This window comes from Homo sapiens, chromosome 5 (genome assembly GCF_000001405.40).
Source record: "Homo sapiens chromosome 5, GRCh38.p14 Primary Assembly".
Taxonomy (NCBI): Eukaryota; Metazoa; Chordata; class Mammalia; order Primates; family Hominidae; genus Homo; species Homo sapiens.
Genome location: NC_000005.10, coordinates 146,640,527 through 146,661,613, shown reverse-complemented (window position 1 = coordinate 146,661,613; position 21,087 = coordinate 146,640,527). Strand labels below are relative to the sequence as shown.

The 21,087-nt window shown below is 41.6% G+C and overlaps 1 protein-coding gene and 1 pseudogene across 10 annotated transcripts in view; both read left to right on the top strand.

The window, feature by feature from the left end:
- The window catches only part of PPP2R2B (protein phosphatase 2 regulatory subunit Bbeta), a 500,779-nt gene that overhangs the window by 419,907 nt on the left and 59,785 nt on the right, over nucleotides 1–21,087 (top strand). For all 10 annotated transcript variants that reach the window (NM_001271900.2, NM_181676.3, NM_181674.3 and 7 more), the window contains one exon: nucleotides 10,890–11,067. In NM_001271900.2, the coding sequence (NP_001258829.1) occupies nucleotides 10,890–11,067 (178 nt within the window). The remainder of the gene's footprint in view (nucleotides 1–10,889; nucleotides 11,068–21,087) is intronic.
- RN7SL791P (RNA, 7SL, cytoplasmic 791, pseudogene) lies at nucleotides 4,919–5,213 on the top strand (annotated as a pseudogene).

Genomic DNA, 21,087 nt, shown 5'->3' with positions numbered 1-21,087 from the left:
TTTTGATGCACTGAATTTAAAATATATACATTAATTCCCCAGGCAGCTTTTATGCATTTATTATTCTTACAGCTGGCCATAGGGGATAAGTCTTTCAAATATATATTTTATATGTCTTTGAAATATAGATATTAAACATAGATATTTTATATATTTATGTATATATGTATATATCTTTGTATATGAAGTACCTTTTAATCCAAAACGTCTTCATGAACTGAAACTTATTGCTGGTCTATTGTAGAAGTTAGTACTTGGTTTCTTCTATGCACCCTAGATTTGGACTGTGTTCCAGGAGAGTGTCCTTAAGACTTGGGTTTTTCAGCCTTGGAACTGTTGACATTTTAAGCTAGATAATTTTTTGTTTCAGGAGGAGCTACCTTGTTCATCAAAATGAGTTTAGCTACCTCCCTAGCTCCTGCACACGGATGCCAGTAACATCCCCTCTATTGTGGCAACCAAAAATACCTCCAGACACTGCCCAGTGGCAAAATCGCTCCTAATTGAGAAACACTGATTTAGAGGATTGAATGCTTATGGCCCTGCTTTCGTGGGATGAATTGTCATTTCTTTAAAAACAACTTATCTGATTCCTCAGTCTAAGTTAGAGCCCCTATTTCTTTCTCTCATGAAACAATATACATCTCTTTGTAGCATCAGTGACAGTTTATAACAATGTATTTACTTAGAGACATTAATGTCTTTCTTCCCTGTTAGACTTTAAATTCTACCCCTTAATCTCTTTTGTTCACTGTGTACACATACTACCTAATACAGTGATTGGCACTTAATAAATGTTTGTCAAATGAAAGAATATAATTCTAAGATATTTAATGACCTGAAACACAAAGCCTGACTTGGTTCAAAGAGGTTTTTCTTCTCAGGCTTATTTCAATCTGTATGACAAAGCCAGTAAAAGAAGAAATTAGGGACATATTGAGGCTGTTGAAGGGTGTGAGCAGGGAAATCTCAAAATTATATTATTTGGATAGGATTCCCAGGGGGTTTTGGCGGGGTGCTGGTGAGTGGCAGTTTCATTCTGGAAACAACAGCTCTGATATGTCGCTGTAAGCCAGAGCCAGCCTATCACTCCTGCTTTCTGAACACCATCCACCATTGATCCATGGAAGAAACAGGTTTTTTGACCAAAGTGAGGTTTAACGCTCCACTAATTCTTTGAGGGAAAATGCCCCAGGACCAGGAGAAATATATCTATAGAAAATAAACATCAGTATAGATAGCACAAGAGGCCTTTAAATGCTTCTTTTCACGTTTTTAAAAAATGGAATTAAGATGCATATTTTTTAAAATGAAAAATGACTGGCATTCTTCCTACTGAAAATGAAAAGTAATTTAATTTGTTAGTGGTTTATTTTATTTGACAGTCATTGTACATACTCTATTTGGTTTGTTACACTGAATTACCCTTCAATAATGGGTACACACAATGCCAGACTCTGCCCCCCAGGTTGCTTTGATAATTGGATGAGCGTCCATATTGTTCAAGATTTTCATGACAATGAGGACGGAGCTATTTGCAAAACTCCTAACCAGGAGAGCTTTCAGCTTTTTAAATTCTCAATAAAGTTAATCTCTATCCAATGACCAATCATTCCCCTGGCTACTTTTCCTAAGCAACCTTAACATTATATAATCATGACTGAATTCCCTTGGTGGATGGAAGAGATGCTAAAACCTCATAGTCAATATAGAAAAGTCAGAAAATCTTCCCCAAGCAATCTTTCAGAATGGACCATTTTTCTACAATTGGAAGTTAATGGTAAGAATGCTAATAATAGCTACCATAGGGGCTGGAGCCAGACAGCTGACATCCAGGGACAATTCTACCCCTTGGCAACAATATGACCTTGGGCAAACTTCATGACCTGTGTTGCTTCAGGAGTTACATCCATAAAATGACAATGATCTTAGTACCTACTTCATAAGGCCATTGTGAAGATTCAATAACATGATGTGCATAAATGATTAGCACAATCCTGGCACAAATCATGTCTCCATAAATGTTTCTTCGTTAGATGGTATGTGTCAATCGTCATGCTAAGTTCTCCTAACAGTGCTACTGAAAATGTTACATATCCCCAACGTTAAGGAGGGGAATACTGATATCAAGAAAGACTAAGCAGCAAACCCAAGGCCACATGGTTGGTAATTAGCACAGCCAGGATCCAAGCCCAAGTCCACATAACTCTAAAAACCCTCTTATACCATTCAAATTGTGTGCTTGTGTACCTCCAGAAGAATTTTGAATAGCTATGTACTTTCCTGAGCTTTTTAAAGTAGGTAACTAAGCATTTCCATTGTAATGTTAAATAATTGCAGAAAATGTGATTTCAAAGTATTTTAAACATTGGCAGTTTAAAATAAAGCTTTTATATCATCTTTTGGTTGCATCCAGTGGGATTTAAATACCTCATTACTGGATACTCACCAATACCCACTAAAAGAATATGTGAACAAATTTTTTTTAAGTCAAAAGCTTCATATTATTATTTTTTCTTCTTCAAACATCTATTTTTATTGCATTTCCCCTAAATCATGTTAAAAGGTTTTTGATCATTTCTATGACAAATATAGATGTAAATAGACTTTTTCTTTTATGAATATATGACTGTAAGACTTTAAAATTATCTTCTGGGTTTAGTTGTTGCTTTGACTATTAATAGAACACAATACATCAAAACAGCATAAACATATAATTCTGACAAATGATGAATAAATATAAAAAGTAACATTTTATTAGAAATGCATCTCATAATGATCTGGGGATGGGGGCGTCTATGCGGCCTTGATTAAAAGTATCATGCAAATGTCCCTCTCAGGAATGTTTATGAATTGCATAGTACACCTTGGTAAGATTCAGGATAAGTTAAAGTACATCTTCTATATCTTTCTTTTGAAAAAGGAAGAAGGAGAACCTAGGCTGTGGGTACTCCTGAGAAGATCTGATTTTAGGAAGGAGAACATGGAAGTTAGGAACGAAGAAATGAATTTCCTTAAAACTTTTTCACATAGTTCTTAGGAAGTCATCCACCACTGCTGTTCCTAGGGGAATGGTATTCTCATTGAAGACGGCTGCTCTGTACCACTGAGCTGTATTCTTTGGAATTAGGATATTTATAGGAGGACCCAATGCTCTCCCATTTTTATGACAACTTACTCCCTCTTCCTTGAAAATGAAGTCTGGGTCCCAGTTGTTACTAAAAAGTCATGAAGGCTGTTTCTTGAAGGAAGCCCAGTGAAAAGGCAAGGTGATAAATTTGAAGCGAGGCCGGAATCTGGAATTTCCAAGCCCCTCTGAGAGATTTACCGTCTAGTGCCTCAAGATGGGATAACATATTCACCCTCAGATTCTCCACTGGGCCTCAAACCTGTGGTCCCAGAGCACCAGGGTCAGGGTTTCCGTATACCTAGGATGAGGTGGACACCCAGGACTTCCGCTCTCATCTTTGTCTTTTCTAGGTCAAGCAGCCTTCCCAAAAGGGGTGGTTTGAGTAAGAAGAAGGAGGGGGTTACATATTGCCTACCTCCTCTAAGCTTCTCAAGGATACTCTGTGTGGCAACTTCTCAGCATGTAGTAGATGCTCAATAAATGTTTGTTGAAGGCCTTATCTGGGGCCAGTGTGTGGTTATAACCTTCCTATGTGCACTTCCTAATTGATGATACAGAACCCACCAAACCCCATGACCTTGATATATACTGTCAGTCTAAATGTAATCTCAATTATTTGGAGAGGGGAATGGGGAGCATCTGTTGAACACTAACAAGGAGATATGGAGCAAGTGTGGATTTAAATTGACAGCAATTTTTTCAAAAGACCCCATAATGTTGATTATGTTGTACGTATCATAATGAGCTGGGGATGGGGTCGTCTATGGGGCCTTGATTAAAAGTATCATGCAAATGTCCCTCTCAGAAGTGTTTATGAATTGCATAGTACACCTTAGTAAGATTCAGGATAAGTTAAGGTACATTTTCTATATCTTTCTTTTGCAAAAGTAAGGAGAACCTACCCTGTGGGTACTCCTGAGATCTGATTTTAGGAAGGAGAATGTGGATGCTCCTTCCATAACATAATTGATTATGCTTGTACGTAACAAGCAATGGTATTCAAAGGTTTGTCTGTTCACCTCAATGAGATTTGACCTAGAGTTACTAAACAGCTAAAATCCATCCACATCCTACAGACAGACATCTCTCTTTTCTTCCTTCTCCATGACTTCATCTTTTCTGTTCTTTATCTCCTATCTGGCCATCTCTTCTCTCTTCTCCGAGTCTTGCCTTGAATCTGTCAATTTACTGAGCTACTGGAGGTTGCCATGGTAAACACAGCTGTTGTTTTTTCTCTGTGAAAAACTCCTCTCATGAAGGCGCATTGAGGGGAGTCCTCCCCATGGCCTCCCCTTGCTGTGCCTTTTCACATATGTTTTTTAAAGTGGAGGCTTCAGGGGCTTCCTGTTTTCTAGGGCTCTACTCTGCTTTAATTGCATGTCTCTGAAGCAAGGCACTGTGACCCGCCAACCCCCACTTAGGTGTCATGGAAGATTGTGAAGAATCGCTGGTGTGGTCACCAAATAAGCCAAATGACAGCAACATTCATTTTGTTAGTAAATGCGTTCTGGGAAGTTAAAGATGATCTGGTATTTCCCAAGAGGAGAGGCGGGAAAGATAATAAGAACCTGAGGGAGGAAGACTCAAAGCGGGTGAGCAGAGACAGAAGGAATGGTGAGGGAGGATAGAGTCCCATATCAGGCAGCTACTCACAGGTAGCCACACCTCCCTGAGCTTTCCTCACCCGCACAGTGAAGGTGGTGATCCGGCCCTGACTACTGATCCAACATCTTCTCCAACTGCCATGCTTCCTTACTCACTCCTCTCCAGCCATAAAAGCTCTTTGCTGACAGGTACATGGCACGTGCCTGTAGTCAGCTACTCAGGAGGCTGAGGCAGGAAGATCACTGGAGCCTAGGAGTCCTGGGCTGTAGTGCCCTATGCTGTTAGGATGTCCACACTAAGTTCACATTAATATGGTGGCCTCCCGGGAGTGAGGGACCACCAGGCTGCCTAAGGAGGGGTTAACCTACCCAGGTCAGAAACAGAACAAGTGAAAACTCCCGTATTGATCAGTAGTGGGATCGTGCCTGTGAATCACCAGTGCACTCCAGCCTGGGCAACATAGCAAGACCCCATTTCTTACTTAAAAAAAAAAAAAGCTCTTTGCTATTGTTCCTCCTGTACTCTGAGCACACTCCAACCTCAGTGCCTTTGCATTTCCTGTTCCCCCTGGCTGGAATGCTCCTCCCCACATTGCTGCATGGCTCCCCCTCTCACTTCATTCAGGTCTCTGTTCATACCCCACTCCCTCAGAGAGGCCTTCTATGACCACCCCACCTCAAAGAGCATACCTCTCGCTTGCTAGCCCCTTACCCAACTCAGGTTTTCCTCATGTACACATACACACAAGAACTTATGTACCACAGAGAGTTCACTGTTGTGGCACCGGTCCCTAGAATATGTCTGCTATTGAGGAGGGATTTAATAAGTATTTGTTGAATGAATAACTAAATCACTGACCTCACCCCAGAAGCACAGTTACCCATCGTTATGTGTATACTTTGCTGTCTCTCCTCTGAGTTTGCACACTGCTGGTCCCTCTGACTGAAGCCCAGTTCCCTCCCCTCCCTACCCCCCACCTCTCTTTGGGGACCTCCCACCCACCCTTCAAGCCCTGCCTAGCTTGGTAGTCTTCTCCTTTCTGAGGTCTGCCTTGGGATCCCCAGGCAGGACCCGTTTGGTTCATACGGCCTGGGCAGTGCCTGATGACCTCCATGGCAGCGTGATCGCCCTCGCTGAAAGATCTATTTACTTGTCTGCCTCCCAAGCATCTGAGTGTGCCTTAAGCGACTAAGGGTATAGACTCCTGAGTCAAGGAGTGGCAGGAGTGCCAGGCCTGAGTACTCGCCCTGCCTCAGACTCACTGTGAGCCTTCAGACAACTTCACCTTTCTGCCTCAGCTTTCTCATCTGTGCAATAGGGATTGTAACATCTACCAAGTTAATCATAGGATAGCGATGAAAATTCACTGAGGAACTGCTGAAGTGTTTAAAAAACTCTGAGCAGTCAGTTGGGGAAGAGGATAGACTGAAGGCTGTGCGATTTGAGGTGGGATGGTCACGGAAGGCCTCCCTGAGGGGGTGACATTTGAGCAGGGACTGATTGAAGTGAGCGGGGAAGCCGTGCCACTCTCTGGGGGGGAAGAGCTTCCCAGGAATATTACAACTGAAATATATCTCTGTAAGCTTTATTGCAGATTAGATTCAGGCTGCTCTTTTGGGGCTTGGGACATTATTCGGTTGATATTCTAATATAATACTGGGTGTCCAGGCAAGACACAGTGCTGGGATGTGCGTCCTTTGAAAGCAGCCTAGGAGAATGAGCTGAAACTCAACCAGGGTCAGAGAGGAGGGTGAAGCACCTGAATCGGGGGACATCACTGAATTCCAGCTGCTCAACACAGAACCACCTGCAGACAGGCCAAGGACTGACCGCTCAGAGGGCCAAGGACTGACCACTGTTCACTCAGCACATCCCTTGTCTCCGCCTTGATCCTAGCCCCATCAATTACTCTGCCAACATGGCTCAGACAAGGTTTGAACTGAGTTAAGACGTCCTGGCCTGATCTGAATTTTGTCTGGCTCTGCTTTTGTCATTTGGCAAAAGGGCATTCTGGTCCTGTGGAGGATGGCTCAGGCAGATGGTGTGTGGGAGCAGAAGTCTGGGACAGGAAGCAGAGACCTAGGCTGTGCAAGCAACCCCGGAAGGGTGACCATGGACAAGGTGCTTAACCTCTCAGACCTCAATGACCTCATCTGTAGATTTCAAGAACTACCCTGGCTACTCACTTTCATACTTTGCTTATCCACAGAAATAGTTCTTTCAGCATGATATTATTGAGGATGCAAGCATATAATACCAAGAATAATGAAGGAGGAGAGGCCTAGACACTATGGCCTCCCACTGTAAGACTCCCACCACACACACAGATGATGTCCTAGGAAGAGGCTCTAAGGCAAAATGTTCCCTGATTTGATGTCACATCCATACACCACAGAGCCTTTCCAAAGTGTTAGGTTAAACCGCATGAGATTGCTGATATTTCACAATTTTTGACTTGCAAACATGGCAGTTTTGTATTTCAACCTAATAGTTTCATTCACAGTAGTGGCTAGGTGTGCTCATTCAGGAACCAAATTAACTGGCTTCAGATCCTAGCCCCCAGCTTATTCTTTGTGTGACATTGGACTGGATACTCCACCTCCCCCCACCTCCCCTGTAAAATGGGGCAAACAGAGGAATCTTCCTTGGAAGGTTGGTTACTGAGGGCGCTGGAGGAGATAACACCTTGGAGTTGGGTGGGGCAGGGAGTCAGGGGTTCTAAACTCAGTGACTGGCACAAGAAGCTCTCCGTGTATGTTTCCAGAGACAACCTTAACAATTGACTGTGGACCTGACTCAGGGAATAGTGTCCGGATCTCCTTCCTGCCTGGCCTTAAAGGGAGAATGTGGCCAGAGCAGATGAAAAACACAGTCGCAATGTGGTTTCCTAATCGGTCCATCGTGTCCTGCTTGAACCACCAAACTTCCCTCTTTCTCCTTGTGAGGGGAGTCACTGGGCAGCAGACAAGCCTTGACGTAGGCCTGGGACTGATGTTGGAATACCACGAGCGGCATTCAGCTCTCCATCCCCCCTGTCTTATCTGAGCAAAGCATTAGAGGCTCCATCCCCAGATACCTACACGGAGCCCTTCCCCATTAAGTAGTACATCATGGAATATGTCAGCCTAAATTAGCAGGCAGGCCCATCACATTAAGCTGAAGCTGTGGGCTGGCAGCTCCCACTCTGTAATGCCTCTTGTTCCTGGCTGCATGCTCCCTCCCATGTCGCCACAGCCACAAGAAATCTCTGCAGACAATGCACGGTAACTGAGGAGGCCCGGGGAAGAGTTTAGGAGGAGCCACAGGAAGTCCTGCAGATTCCATTTCTTTTGTGACCCTTGGGGTCCTGCTTTGAGCTCTGGTACCTCTTGACGGCAGAGGAACCAGGTAGCAACCACAAGCTTCAGGTGGGGAGCTCCTTTGTGACAAACTATAAAAGCATGGCACACATTTCTGAAAAAATAGATGCCCTGTTCAAATACCATGAACACCTACAACACCTAATTGAGGTTTCTTAACTACCACACTACTATGAATACCACTACCATTATAACTACCAGTAACACTAGTTATTCCATAAATTCTCCTGGCAATTTATGTCACTTTCAGAGCATTTATCATACCTACCCTGTGTGATATTTCAATGTGATGTGGTACAGTGGAAAGAACATTCACTTTCCAGTCCCCGAATTAAACCTAGCTATGCTTCCTGTAGCTGGGCAACCCTGGGCCAGTGACTTAGCCTCTCTCTGCCTGAGTTTTCTGTTTGTATGAGTACCTATTTCACAGAGCTTTTGAAAGAATTACCTGAGATTATGTATGAAGAATACTTGACACAGAGAAAATGCCCAATAAATATTTTGGTGTAGTGTTTCTCAGGGCAAAGTCACTTTTTTATCCATCGCAATGCCTTAACTCAGGCATGCCCTTAGTTGATGTCCAAAAGTGTATGATCTTCACTTTAAAAATTCTACCTCATTCTTCCTCTAACTTGTTTTCCATTGTACATCTGGACTGATCTAGTCAAAACCTGGATTTGATTATATCACAATCATTGCAAATCCTTTCATTTTTTTCCCTATTCACTTGGAATAATGGCAAAACTTTTTGGGGGGGGGTGTTGCCTCCTACCTAGCCTGTCACCTCATCTCCCACAATAGCTCCCTTCACTACTTCTGTCTCAACTACAGTGACCTATCAGTTTTTCACTCTTGCCTTGTTCACCTCTATCACGGGACCTTTGCACATCCCTCAGACACATTCTCCCTTTCACTCCCCTCCTGGCCTGGTTAAATCCCTACCCATCTTTCACATTCCAATACATACATTCTCAGGGAAGCCTCTTCAGTTCTCCCTGAGCAGGTTAAATCCCTCTTGGCAGTATATCCTCTCTTTTGCGCACCTAGCCCTTTTAATTATGTCTATCTCCCCTGACAAGAACAGGTATATGATGCCAGGACCTGTGTCTGGTTCTGCTTACCAGTTGAACACTCCAGGACTTTGTGTGGCACTCAGTAAATATTGTTGAAAGAGTGGGTAGGAGGATGCATTGGAGGTCAGATCATCTCAACAAAACCCCAAACCACCCTTTGCGATAGTGAGAGCACAGGGAGCATGGTCACTGTTTTGCAGACAGTGCAATTGAGCTCAAGCTTAGGAGGAGCAGGTTAGTTGCCCAGACCTCATAGCCTATTGGTTAGTGGTGAATCTGATCAGAACCCTGGTCTCCCATTCGCTGCCACACACACTTAATCTATAGGCCCTTATCCGTAATTGGGATGGGGGACCACAAAGACTTTCCTTCCCTTTCCTTTCCTAGTATTCAGAGGACCCCTGACCCTTCTACAGCCACACCTCAAGTCACCTGTGGTTTCTGGGTTATCAAGTACCACATCTGTCTAGAATTCTGTGTTTCCTCTGAATCATTGATTTGATTTAAAAACTCCCGCATAGGTGAGTTAAAGTCCCTCAAGTCTGAACTGGGAGAATTCTTTTTTCTAAAAGGTTATGTTGGTGAGGTGACTGCACTTCAGAAAATTTAACTTTTGTTTTTCTTCTCCTCGCCACCTGGGTTGAAGCCAATCCAGAAGTTGAAGTCTTAATCTACCACCTGGTATCAAATCAGTCGGGGCTCAGTTGCAAGAAATGATTTGCTTGAAAAGAAAATAGCTTTGGTTATTTTATTATCTTGTTTCTATTAAGTGACCACACCTGTGTTGTGGGGTTTTGTCTGTCTTGGGTGTTTTTTTAGTTTGTTCCCTCTCAGGCATTAGTGTTCTTATTCTCTTTCTTTGTAGCCAGTTCACCCAGAACTCAAAGGAGGAAGAGTGATAGGTCTTTGTTCACATTTGCCAGAAAGACGGTCATGTGTGGGAAACTATTTAGTTGCCGATTCTCTGATCCACCAGAAAGAAATCATTTAATCATGTATTCTTACTCATTCAACAAATACTTACTGAGAAGTATTTATGTATCAGTAAGGTGACCATATCATTAATGTTCAAACTGGGACAGTTTTGCATGTAAAAGTGGACACTACCTGGTTCGCACTCTAAGACAAATATAAACCAAGATTTTCTCAGTCAGATGTCATTGGGTTCCCTATATATTAGTGGCTGAATTTGGACGATTAGAGTCTTGGGTGATGCTAAAGTTTCCCAAAATGCCCTTAAGGATTAAGGACAAAGCCAGGAAGGGGTATAGCTTCCAAAGCCATGAGATGAAAAGACATAAAAGATAAATTTAGATTAAAGTTGAACTAGACATTTCTAAAATTTTCCCACAACTCCCTTTTTTAAATAGATTTCATGTTTAAAAAAAAAATAGAACAATGTCTCTGGAAGGTAATGACTCCACAATGGAAGCCAAGTTCCCCTGAGATGAGGCTACCTGGAGGGGCTTAGAAAAATGTTTAGAATTTATAAAGAATGAAATTTCCCACCAGGGCTAAGTGATGGTGATATCTTTTGAAAGAGGAGGAACAGAATGGAACAAGAACAGTGTGTGATTCGTTATTAGCCTCTTCTTTCTCTAACTTGGAGTTTCTTCAATGTGGCTATTATTTTGTGTGTGATAATAAATGATATTAGCATGCACACTCTTTTCCTATGGAAGATCTTTGGTTCTGAAGTGATTTGTTTCTCTTGCATCCCAGGTGCCTGTCCTGAGACCCATGGACCTGATGGTGGAGGCCACCCCACGAAGAGTATTTGCCAACGCACACACATATCACATCAACTCCATATCTGTCAACAGCGACTATGAAACCTACATGTCCGCTGATGACCTGAGGATTAACCTATGGAACTTTGAAATAACCAATCAAAGTTTTAGTATCCTTTCTTTGTGATCAAGAATCAACTGGCCTGAATTAAGAGTATTCAGGTGCGAGTGGGCTGGGAGAAAATATGGAATAGAAATGCAACACCTAGCATTTGCGGAGAACTTGCCCCTTTTAAAATACACTGGCACCTATGAGACTCTTTAATCATAACAATAAAGTTAGGGAAATATTGTTATTACAAGTGGGAGGCCAGGGCTAGCTCTGGATTGGGACTCTGAATCAATTCCTTCATACAGAGGCATTTATATGTCACGAATTAAAATTAGAGGTGATTTTATCAACAATAGGATAAGACCCTAGAGTTCAGGTTCTTTCTCTGTTAAAGGATTCATAAATCTGTATGGACAGCATGGACCACAGACATACTGGTTTCCATTGTCTCATAATAGTGAAAATAATAGTGACTGACATTTATTGAGTTCCAAGCACTTGCAATGGGAACTTTATAGTATTACATTTTTTACCTCATTGAAGTATATTATGCATATAGAAAAGTACATATTATAATTGTACAGTTTGATGAAATGTATAGTATACATATTATAATTGTACAGTTTGATAAAATGTACAGTATACATATTATAATTATACAGTTTGATGAAATTTCAGAGGTTGAACTCACCTATAACCAGCATTGACATCCAGAAACAGAACTTTGCTAACAATTCTCAAGCCCCCATCATGCCTCTTTATATTAATAATTTCTACCCCCAAGGACATATTTGATAAAACAACCCCATAATGTAAGTATCATTATCTCCTGTTTAATTAAAATATAGAAAAGTCGGCTGGCCGCAGTGGCTTATGCTTATAATCCCAGCACTTTGGGAGGCCTAGGTAGGTGGATTGCTTCAGGTCAGAGGTTTAAGACCAGCTTAGCCAACGTGGCAAGGCCCCAACTTTACTAAAAATACAAAAAAGAAATTAGCCAGGCATGGTGGCGGGCGCCTGTAGTCCCAGTTACTTGGGAGGCTGAGGCAGGAGAATCGCTTGAACTGAGGAGGCAGAGGTTGCAGTAAGCCGAGATCGTACCACTGCACTCCAGTCTGGGTGACAGAGCCAGACTCCATCTCAAAAAAATAATAAAAATAAAAAATATATAGAAAGGTAAAAAAAAAAAATGCTGAATAGCTGGGCCAGTATTTTCACCCCCACTATGTTGACCCTCTATTTCATAGTAAAAATTGGTCATTTATTGAATACCTATCATGTGCTCCATTTCTCACAAACCTAAGGCATGAGATTTATGAGGAATGGCACTGAACAACTCAGGTAACTGAACAATTGACCTAGGTATCAATATGGAGTTTTCTCTTCCACTTACCAGCCTCCCCTACTCTAACTCCATCTATCCATGAGCCCTGCCTCTAAAATATATGTCAAATCAACGCATATATCCCTATCTACCTACCTACACTAGCATAAGCCACTGTTGTCTCTCACCACTGTGACTGCAATAATCTCATCTGGTCTCCATTCATTCTTGCTCTTTTATACAGTACGAACCCTTCAACATGTAATTCAAATATCATTCCTTCCCTGATAAAAAACATTCCAGTAGCTTCCCACTAAACTCAGAATAAAATCCAAGTTATTTAACTTGGCCTATAAGATTCTGCGTGATCTGGAACCTGTCTCCATCTTTGTTATCCAGTCTTGTCACGCTTCCCTAATTCACTTCATTTCAGCCAACTAATCACTTTTCTGTTCCTAAGTAAACCTTATTCTTCCATTCTTTGCATTTGCTGTTCCCTCTTTCTAGAATATTTTGCCCACAGCATTCACATGGCTAGTTACATGTCACTTCAGGCCCCAGAGGTACTCTTTCCCATTAACTCTTAAGTAGCTACCAATAACACTATCCCTGTTATTGTCATGGTACTTACCATGATTTGAAATTTTTTTACTTATGTATTTTTGGTTTCCTCATGTTAGGATGTAAATTCTACAAGAGCAAGGGCCTTGTATGAACTATTGCTGTATTCCAGTACGTGGAACACTCTGACATACAGAAAATTATTGAACCTGTCAAGTTCGAAATAATAGTAGGTCATCAAAGTAGCGCTATCCAGTAGACAGTTCATAAAATCTAACCTGGAAATTTAATTTTAAGAGTTATAGTAAAGCTCTGAAGGTTCGTTTATAGAATAGACCCCATAATGGCTCAAACAAATAAAAGATTATTTTCGTATGAAGTCTAATATTGATGATCCCCATCAGCAGGCAGCCTCCTCCAATCAGTAATTCAGAAACTCGGGCCTCTTTCATTTGCAGCTCCCCAATGTTACCATGTTTATAGCAGGACTGTAAAAGGGGAAGGTCATGGAAGATCACAAGTGGGAGATTCCTCTGAGCCATGCCCTAAAAAAGTATGCATTCCATTGGCTAGAATTCAGCCACATGGCTAACTCTTAACTGCAAGGCAGCCTAGGAAATGTAGTCTGGCTGTGTGCCCAGGATAAAAAGACCCGGTTTTGGTACACAGCTAGCTAGTCTCCACCATGGAGAGCACTCAACCGTCTCCAAGGGCTTTCAGGGAAGGCAGCTTTAATCAGATAGTGGCAATTATGAGATATATTTGGAGACAATGAGAACTGACCATCAGGACCATGCCTGGCATATTTTGTTGATCACGGAACAGACTCCACATGCTGTCTGGGCCTGCCTACAGATTTTGCCTGGCAGTGCAGCTGCTAATAGAATGAGTGTGGGTGGTGGTTCCCTTTTTCTCTCTCCATCTATTCCAAGAGCCAGAAATCTGCTCAGGCTCAGCTGGCTGTCACTCTGAGCTTCTGCTTCCCCAGTCTAGGTGACATGTTTTCTGAATTTTGCCTCTAGGCCTTCAAGGGGGAGGGGAGTTTCTTTAGGCATTTTGGGAGACAGATGCCTTGGGGAGAATGCAAAGGGGAAATATTAACAGCGCAGTTTAGGTTATATTCTGCAGATGTGTGACAGACTGCCAGATGCTGGCATACAAATGAGACCGTGCCATTCACCCTTAAAGCAGCCATATGTAAAATAATCATTGTCATCATGAGAACGATGATAAGTGATATCTATATAGTTCTTTTCAACCAGACCGCCCTAAGCACTGAGCCTCTCATCACTGAAGTATAGCCACCTCTGGGGTAGGAAGCGGCCATCTTTCAAAACAGTCTCAGAAAAATACCAGCCACCAGGCAGGTCTCATTTCCACAATGCCCCTTATTCACAAAGGAGACAGAAGAAACATGGTTCAGGATAGAATAATTTGGGATTCCCAAAGCATAGTGTGGCTACTACTGGGGATGGTAAGCAATGTGCTTCTAAGCAATAGTGAACGTCAAAAAACATAACCATCATATCCTACAATTTCATAGATATTCAAAATCTATTTAGATTACAAAGTAAGTGTATGTAAAGCATTAAGTAAATAGTGAGACAAGGGATCTGGAGATATGGTTAGAAAACAGTCATGACTTCCTGTGACTGGCATTTGGTGTGACTTTGGCATTACGGTTGAGAACTCAGGCTTCAGAGTCCAACAAGTGATAGAGGTCTCACCCAGCCCTACCACTTTTCTGGCTGTATAAGCTTTAACATGTTCTTAATCTATCCAAGCCTCCATTTCTCATTTTGTTCATCTGTAGAAAGCAGCTCTATCACGAGAGGATTATGAAAATTAAACACACACACACACACATACGCACGCACACATTTAGGGTAGTGCCTTGCTAAGCAAATGCTCAGTAAACAGGACTAGCACAATCATGATAATTATTGAGAGAACAAGGAAACTAGAAAAGTTGAACATTAGAATGGTAGCTTTTATTCTGCTAATTTTATTATCTGGATTGTCTTTTCAATTCTAGACTCTTCCTTTGGTTCTGCAGTTGGGTGTCCTTTGCAAGATGCTGCCCCCTAGTTACTAAATGTTTTCAGGAACTCTGAGGTCTAGGGCCTTGTGTTTAGCACCAGATCAGAGCAAGGCATTTCTAAACCTCATGATAACTGGTCATGAATTCTCTCCCTTCCATCCATAGCCAGTCTGTCCTTGTCTTGTGTAACAGTTTCCCACATAAGCAGTCAAACTTTCGTCTTAATAGGCTAACTACATCAGGACTATAACAACTCATTAATAGATTAGTAGTTTTCTAGGGCAAGAGACAATAGCAATAAATGAAAATTTATATTAAAAGATGTTGCTTCTTTATGAAAACTATGGTATACCTAGAATCCTTTGAACTCTTTTTGCAGGACTAAGAATGAACTGACCTGAGTTCTTACCTTGTCCAACATGGGATCTATTAAATAGGCCCATATCGAGTAAAAATAAAGACTAGCCCTCAACGATGATAAATTGAGCACCTAGTTTGTGCCAGGCATGAAAATGGGAAAAAACAAATTTGCCGCTTTCAGAGTAATGTTCATCAAATACACTGAGTATATAATTACAAACTGAGATAATTTCTGTGAAGACAGGGAATATGGTTCTATGAATGCATTTTTAAAAATCCTGCTATAGACCAGGGAAGGCTTTGCTGAAGAATTAGTTAAGATCTGAAAGAGGAAGACTATGAACTAACTTGGCAAAGAGGTGTGGAGACATGTGTTCAGTGTGTACAGAGGTCCTGTGGCAGGAGAGAGTATGACATGTTGGAGGAATTCTAAGAAGGCCACTATTTTTGAAGCCCAGAGAGTGAAGTGGAGCATGGAGTAAGCAAGGCTGGGAAGGGTAGCAGAAGCCTCACCTTTCAGAAGTCCAGTCTCTGAATATGAGATAGAGGACTTATCTGGGAGAAGCCAGCTGGACTCTAGGGATACTTCAACTTTGACCTTGGTCCTAACAACCCTGTACAGTGGCTTCATTTTATTTGTCAACCAAGCTGAAGCCCTGTTAGAGTCGATTCCCTAATTAAGGGACCAGGTAGCCTCAACTCTTGGCTTCCAGGTTCTAGCACTCATTACTACCATGGACAGCAGCTTCCTTTTAATTCAGTGGGATTCTGCCAGGCAGGCTTCCAGGGGAACTGTGGGGTCTAGTACAAGTTTCTCCCCTGTTGCTGCTTCAGTGGCTTTCACCCTGCCCAATACATATTTAATATGACACCATGTGTCTCTTTGTCAGTCTCCTCATATTGAGCCTAGGAATTGGCAAACACTCCATGAATATTTACACATTGACTTTTTTTTAAGCTCTTAAGAGAGGAATATCCCTTGGAGTCCTCTTTGGAGATTTCCAGTGTCTCATCATCAAGCAACATGTCCTTTCAGCTAATAAGATCTTTATGTTTCATAATCATTGCTTAATATCCAAAGATTAAATTTAGACCATGGAAAGGGAAAAAGATCTCAAAGCAACTCATGTCCCTAAAAGGAAATCACACTCATCAAACAAATACGCTGTGTTCACACAAAGATATTACTATTTTCTACCTTCAGTACTGGCAGACTTTAAGTGGGATATGAAAAGCCTCAGCTGCTTTTGAATGTGGGTACTTTACCCTGGTAAACATAGATTCCACTCTTCAGCTTGGCCAATGTTTATAATACTCAGCCCTGCAGAAAAGCGTCCTACTTGGCTCTCTTATCCTCCATTGGCTTAGACAGGAATTGGGGAAATACGCATGTCAGTATTAGCAAAATCAGCAGCAAAGGGACAGAGGCATATGAAAGTCACCTCACAAAGGCAATGCATATAAACCCTATCCTTGGAGAAATATGTGCTTCCTTCAGAAGAAGGAATATTCACTCCAGTGTAAAACCACTTAAATTATCTTTTCCATTATCTTGTTTAATAATCAAAATTCTTAGAGGCTGATAGGGTTACACCCATTTATAGGCAAAGAAATGGAAACCCAGAGAGATAAAATGACTTTCCCAAATTCTCTTAGCAAAATGGAGATAGAATCAAAACTGAATCCCAATCTCTGGTCCCCATTTTGTTACAATCACTGTATTTTTCACAATATTATCTCAAACTTTACCCATCGAGATGAGGTTCCTGGTCTCGCAGCTCTCTCACAGATGATTTTAAGCCAGGGAAACTGCTATTTTTTAATGCTTATTGTTTTCTTTGTTTAATATGTATTCATTGTAGAGATTTGGGGAAAATAAAATGACCAAAAATCTTACTACCAATTTTGCTGTCTATACATTGGATTCGCATCACAGTTTTAACTTAATGCTAGCTAATTCAACAATGTGGGTTCAGGGGGAAATAAAAGAAATTTTAAAAGCCAAAGCCAAAAACAATTTAAAACTCCTGATTTACCCAAGAATCTTTCTTCTTCTTTTTTTTTTTTTTTTTTTTTTTTTTTTTGAAACTTTCCTAAGGGAAGAAGTTCAGGTTCCTAATCCACTTTTTTTTGCATTACGATATTCTTTTATTGATATTATTTTTAATACAAATAATACATGAATACAAGTTATTTTTTGGTAAATTACTTTAGCAATAAACAATTCACCTCTTACTCTGCTAAAAGGTTAGAACAGGTTGGCAAACTGCCCACAGACCAGATCTATCCCAAAGTGTTTTTGTAAGTAAAGTTTTGTTGGAACACAGCCACACCCTTTCAGTTACATATTATCTATGGCTGCTTTCCTGCTGCAACTGCAAAGTTGAATAGCGGTGGCAAAGGCCCAAAAGGCTGAAAATACTTGCTGCATGGTCCTTATGGAAGCTCGCCTAGTTTAGGATATGGACTCACACTTTTTTCTATCCATTTATATATCAGGCATATTCACAGACTATTTTATTTTGTATATAGTTGGGATTATACCATATGCCTTTTTCTTTTTAAAACAATTTTTTATTTCCACAGGTTTTAAGGAACAGGTGGTATTTGGTTACATGAGTAAGTTCTTTAGTGGTGATTTGTGAGAATTTGGTGCACCCATCTCCTAAGCAGTATACACTGAACCCAATTTGTAGTCTTTTATCCCTCACCTCCTTCCCACCCTTTCCCCCTGAGTCCCCAAAGTCCATTGTGTCATTCTTATGCCTTTGCATCCTCTTAGCTTCCACTTATGAGTGGGAACATACAATGCCAAGAACCTTCCTTCTATTCAATCTAGGACATATAGAGACATAATTTCTCTCTCCCTTTCCTGCTTTTACTGCTTAGTAGTTATCACTGCCTAATATACTGTGTATAATACTCATTTACCTTGTTTATTGACTGTTCCCTACTAGAATATAGGCTCCATGGATCAGGGGGGCTTGGGGCCTGCTTTGGTCACTACTGTATCTCCTGCACCCAGAAGAGTACTGGCAGGGTATAGATTCTTTGGAAACACTTATAGAATACACAAAGAAAGAAATGAGTGAATGGGCCCTTGTCTGTCTCCCTCTCTCTCTCTCTCTCTCTCTCGTGTGTGTGTGTAATATCTTTTACGTGGTCTTGGTCAGACTGTATATACTTTGTACCTAACTTTCCTTACCCAAAATAGTACACATCATAAGTATGGAAAGTATCCTAAGTTTTTGTTTTGTTTTTCAATACAGGGTCTGGCTGTGTTACCCAGGCTGGAGTGCAGTGGCACAATTACCACTCACTGCAGCCTCAACCTCCCAGGCTCAATCAATCCTCCTGCCTCAGCCTCCCCAGTAGCTGGAACTACAGGTGCATGCCACCACACCTGGCTAATTTTTGTATGTTTGGTAGAGATAGGGTTTCACCACGTTGCCCAGGCTGGTCTCAAATTCCCAGGCTCAAATGATCCACGCATCTTGGACTCCCAACTTGTTGGGATTGCAGGTGCGAGCCACCATGCGTGGCCCTAAGATTTTTTCCAGCCTGAAATACAACTTTATTAAAAGAAAATGTGGAAATTGTGCTGATCATTGAAATCAAAAGAAAAACCATTCGTAAACCCACCCTGATAGAACTATCACTAATGTTTTAGTGTCTTCCCATTTAGCTCATCATTTTCAGAGTATAAGTTTTAAATGACATCATCAAACTGTTGTTAGAATTTTGTGCACTATGGTTTTTACAGACTTGGAAATTTCACTGCAAAAACAATTTAATGAGATATATAAAAATTCATCTAATCACTTCCTTGTTCTGTATATTTATTTAAGTTGTCAATCTTTTTCTAATATCATGCTGGACTTTTGTTTTCATAAAAAGCTTTTTCTAAACTTGGGATTAGGAAATGATGTTTGAATGGCCCCCATGCTACCTCTTACCATCCTGCCATGACCCTCTCCATTCCCTCATCCCACACTGATGAACCATTTGTGGCTCTGGCTTCCCATTTGTTTGAAGTGGATCCCTTAAGGAGTGACCTCCTGGTGTCTTCAATTATTATTTTAAATGATGCCTTAGGCCACTGCCTGGCACAGCGGTGCCCTCACCTTCCCCTCTTCTGCCTTCCAAGCATGGAGCTCAGCTGCCAAGCTGGCTATGCCCCCTCCTGTCCTCAGAGCTGCCTCCAGAGTCCCAGCAGAGAGCCAGATTAACCCCTTTTGTTAGCAGATGTAATTTGCCTGGGCTCAGCATTAATAAGAAATGCCGTAAGCAGTCAGGTCAAGAAGAACAGATCTGTCAAGCCCCAGGGTTAATTTAATGGCAATCTGTTGGCTGTCGGGGTTGTATATTAGCCATGAATTCAATGCTCTGTTTTGCTTTTGCCATCTAGTTATTTGGGACAACAGGGAAATAATTTGGATAGAGAGCTCTAAAGGATTAAAAAAAATAAAAGTGACTGTCAAAATGCATCATTCCATTTTCAAGATTATACGTGGAGCCACGAATTGCTCATCTTCTTTCTCCTTCCCTCCCAACATGAAGGGCAAAATTACATATGCTGAAAACATGGATCGCCCTTTAGAGTTGTGCAGGGGAAAATGCCTGGGTTTCTAGAGGATACAGATGTTGAATATCCTCTCCCATCATCCCCATAAGTCACTTAATTTTTAGCAACTAGACTTCTCTCAAATGTTTCTAGAACTCACCAAATCCTCCAGCAGGTAAAAATCCAAATAATCCCTTATCAGGCTTGTGTCCCAAATTCTGCTTCAAAAAAAAAAAAAAAAAAAAAAAAAATCTTAGAGCACATAAAAATTCTGATTCTGGAAAATGCAGTCACCAAAGTGGTAGGTAAATTAAGAGAGCACAAGCCTAAAGCCAGAAGAGATGGGGCTGCCCTCTCAGATTAGCTGGGGGTCTTTTCAAAGGAACCAAAATTGTCACATTTTGGCCAGCTTTGTGAGGCCATTCCTCAAGGGAGGCAGAGTGGCATGGTGAGAAAGAACCCGGGCTCTGGAGTCAGACAAGCTTGGGTTCAAATCCCAGCTCTGCCCACTGTGTCACATAACCTTGAGTAATTTATCTGAGTTCCCTCGGCTGTAAAATGGACCTGTTAATAATCCTGCCCTCATAAGGCTGAGATGAGGGGCAAGGGGGACAACACATGGAAAGTGTTAGCACAGGGCAGGCCTGGCCCCTGATCAGCATTAGCAACTGGCCATATCTTCCTCTTAACTTCATCATCCCAGTGATTAAAAAGAGGGATAATCATGGTTTATCCCTGGAACCCCTTTGAGTCAAACTAAACAAGCCCTCTACTCAAAAAGGAAGACTGAGACCTGCTGGGGATAGGAAGCCAATGGCTTGGGGATGAGGGCTGGGTGGTGGGTAGGCTTGGAAGGTCCAGTGAAGGAAGGAAAGATCCAGAGATGGCAGCTCTGGGCAGATCTCGTGGGCACAGCCCCACTGGCATCCTTGATGGTGGAGGATGTGCCTGGTTTCATAGACATGTTTAGGCACTTTGTTTTTGCACATTCTTACTTTGGGGCTTTATTTTTAGGTGGGAAAAAATAACTGTAGCTGTAGCACCTCCCCCTCCCACACAGCGAAGATCCCTTCCAGTTCAGCTTGTTTTCAGAGCTATACTGGTAGAGGTTGAGAAAGCTGACACCAGATTTTCTTTCCCTATTTGGAGAAAAGAGAAACATGTTCACAGGCACAGTGGGATATCAAGGCTTGCTCTGGAGGATGAGGAAATCTAACAGCAGCTGAAA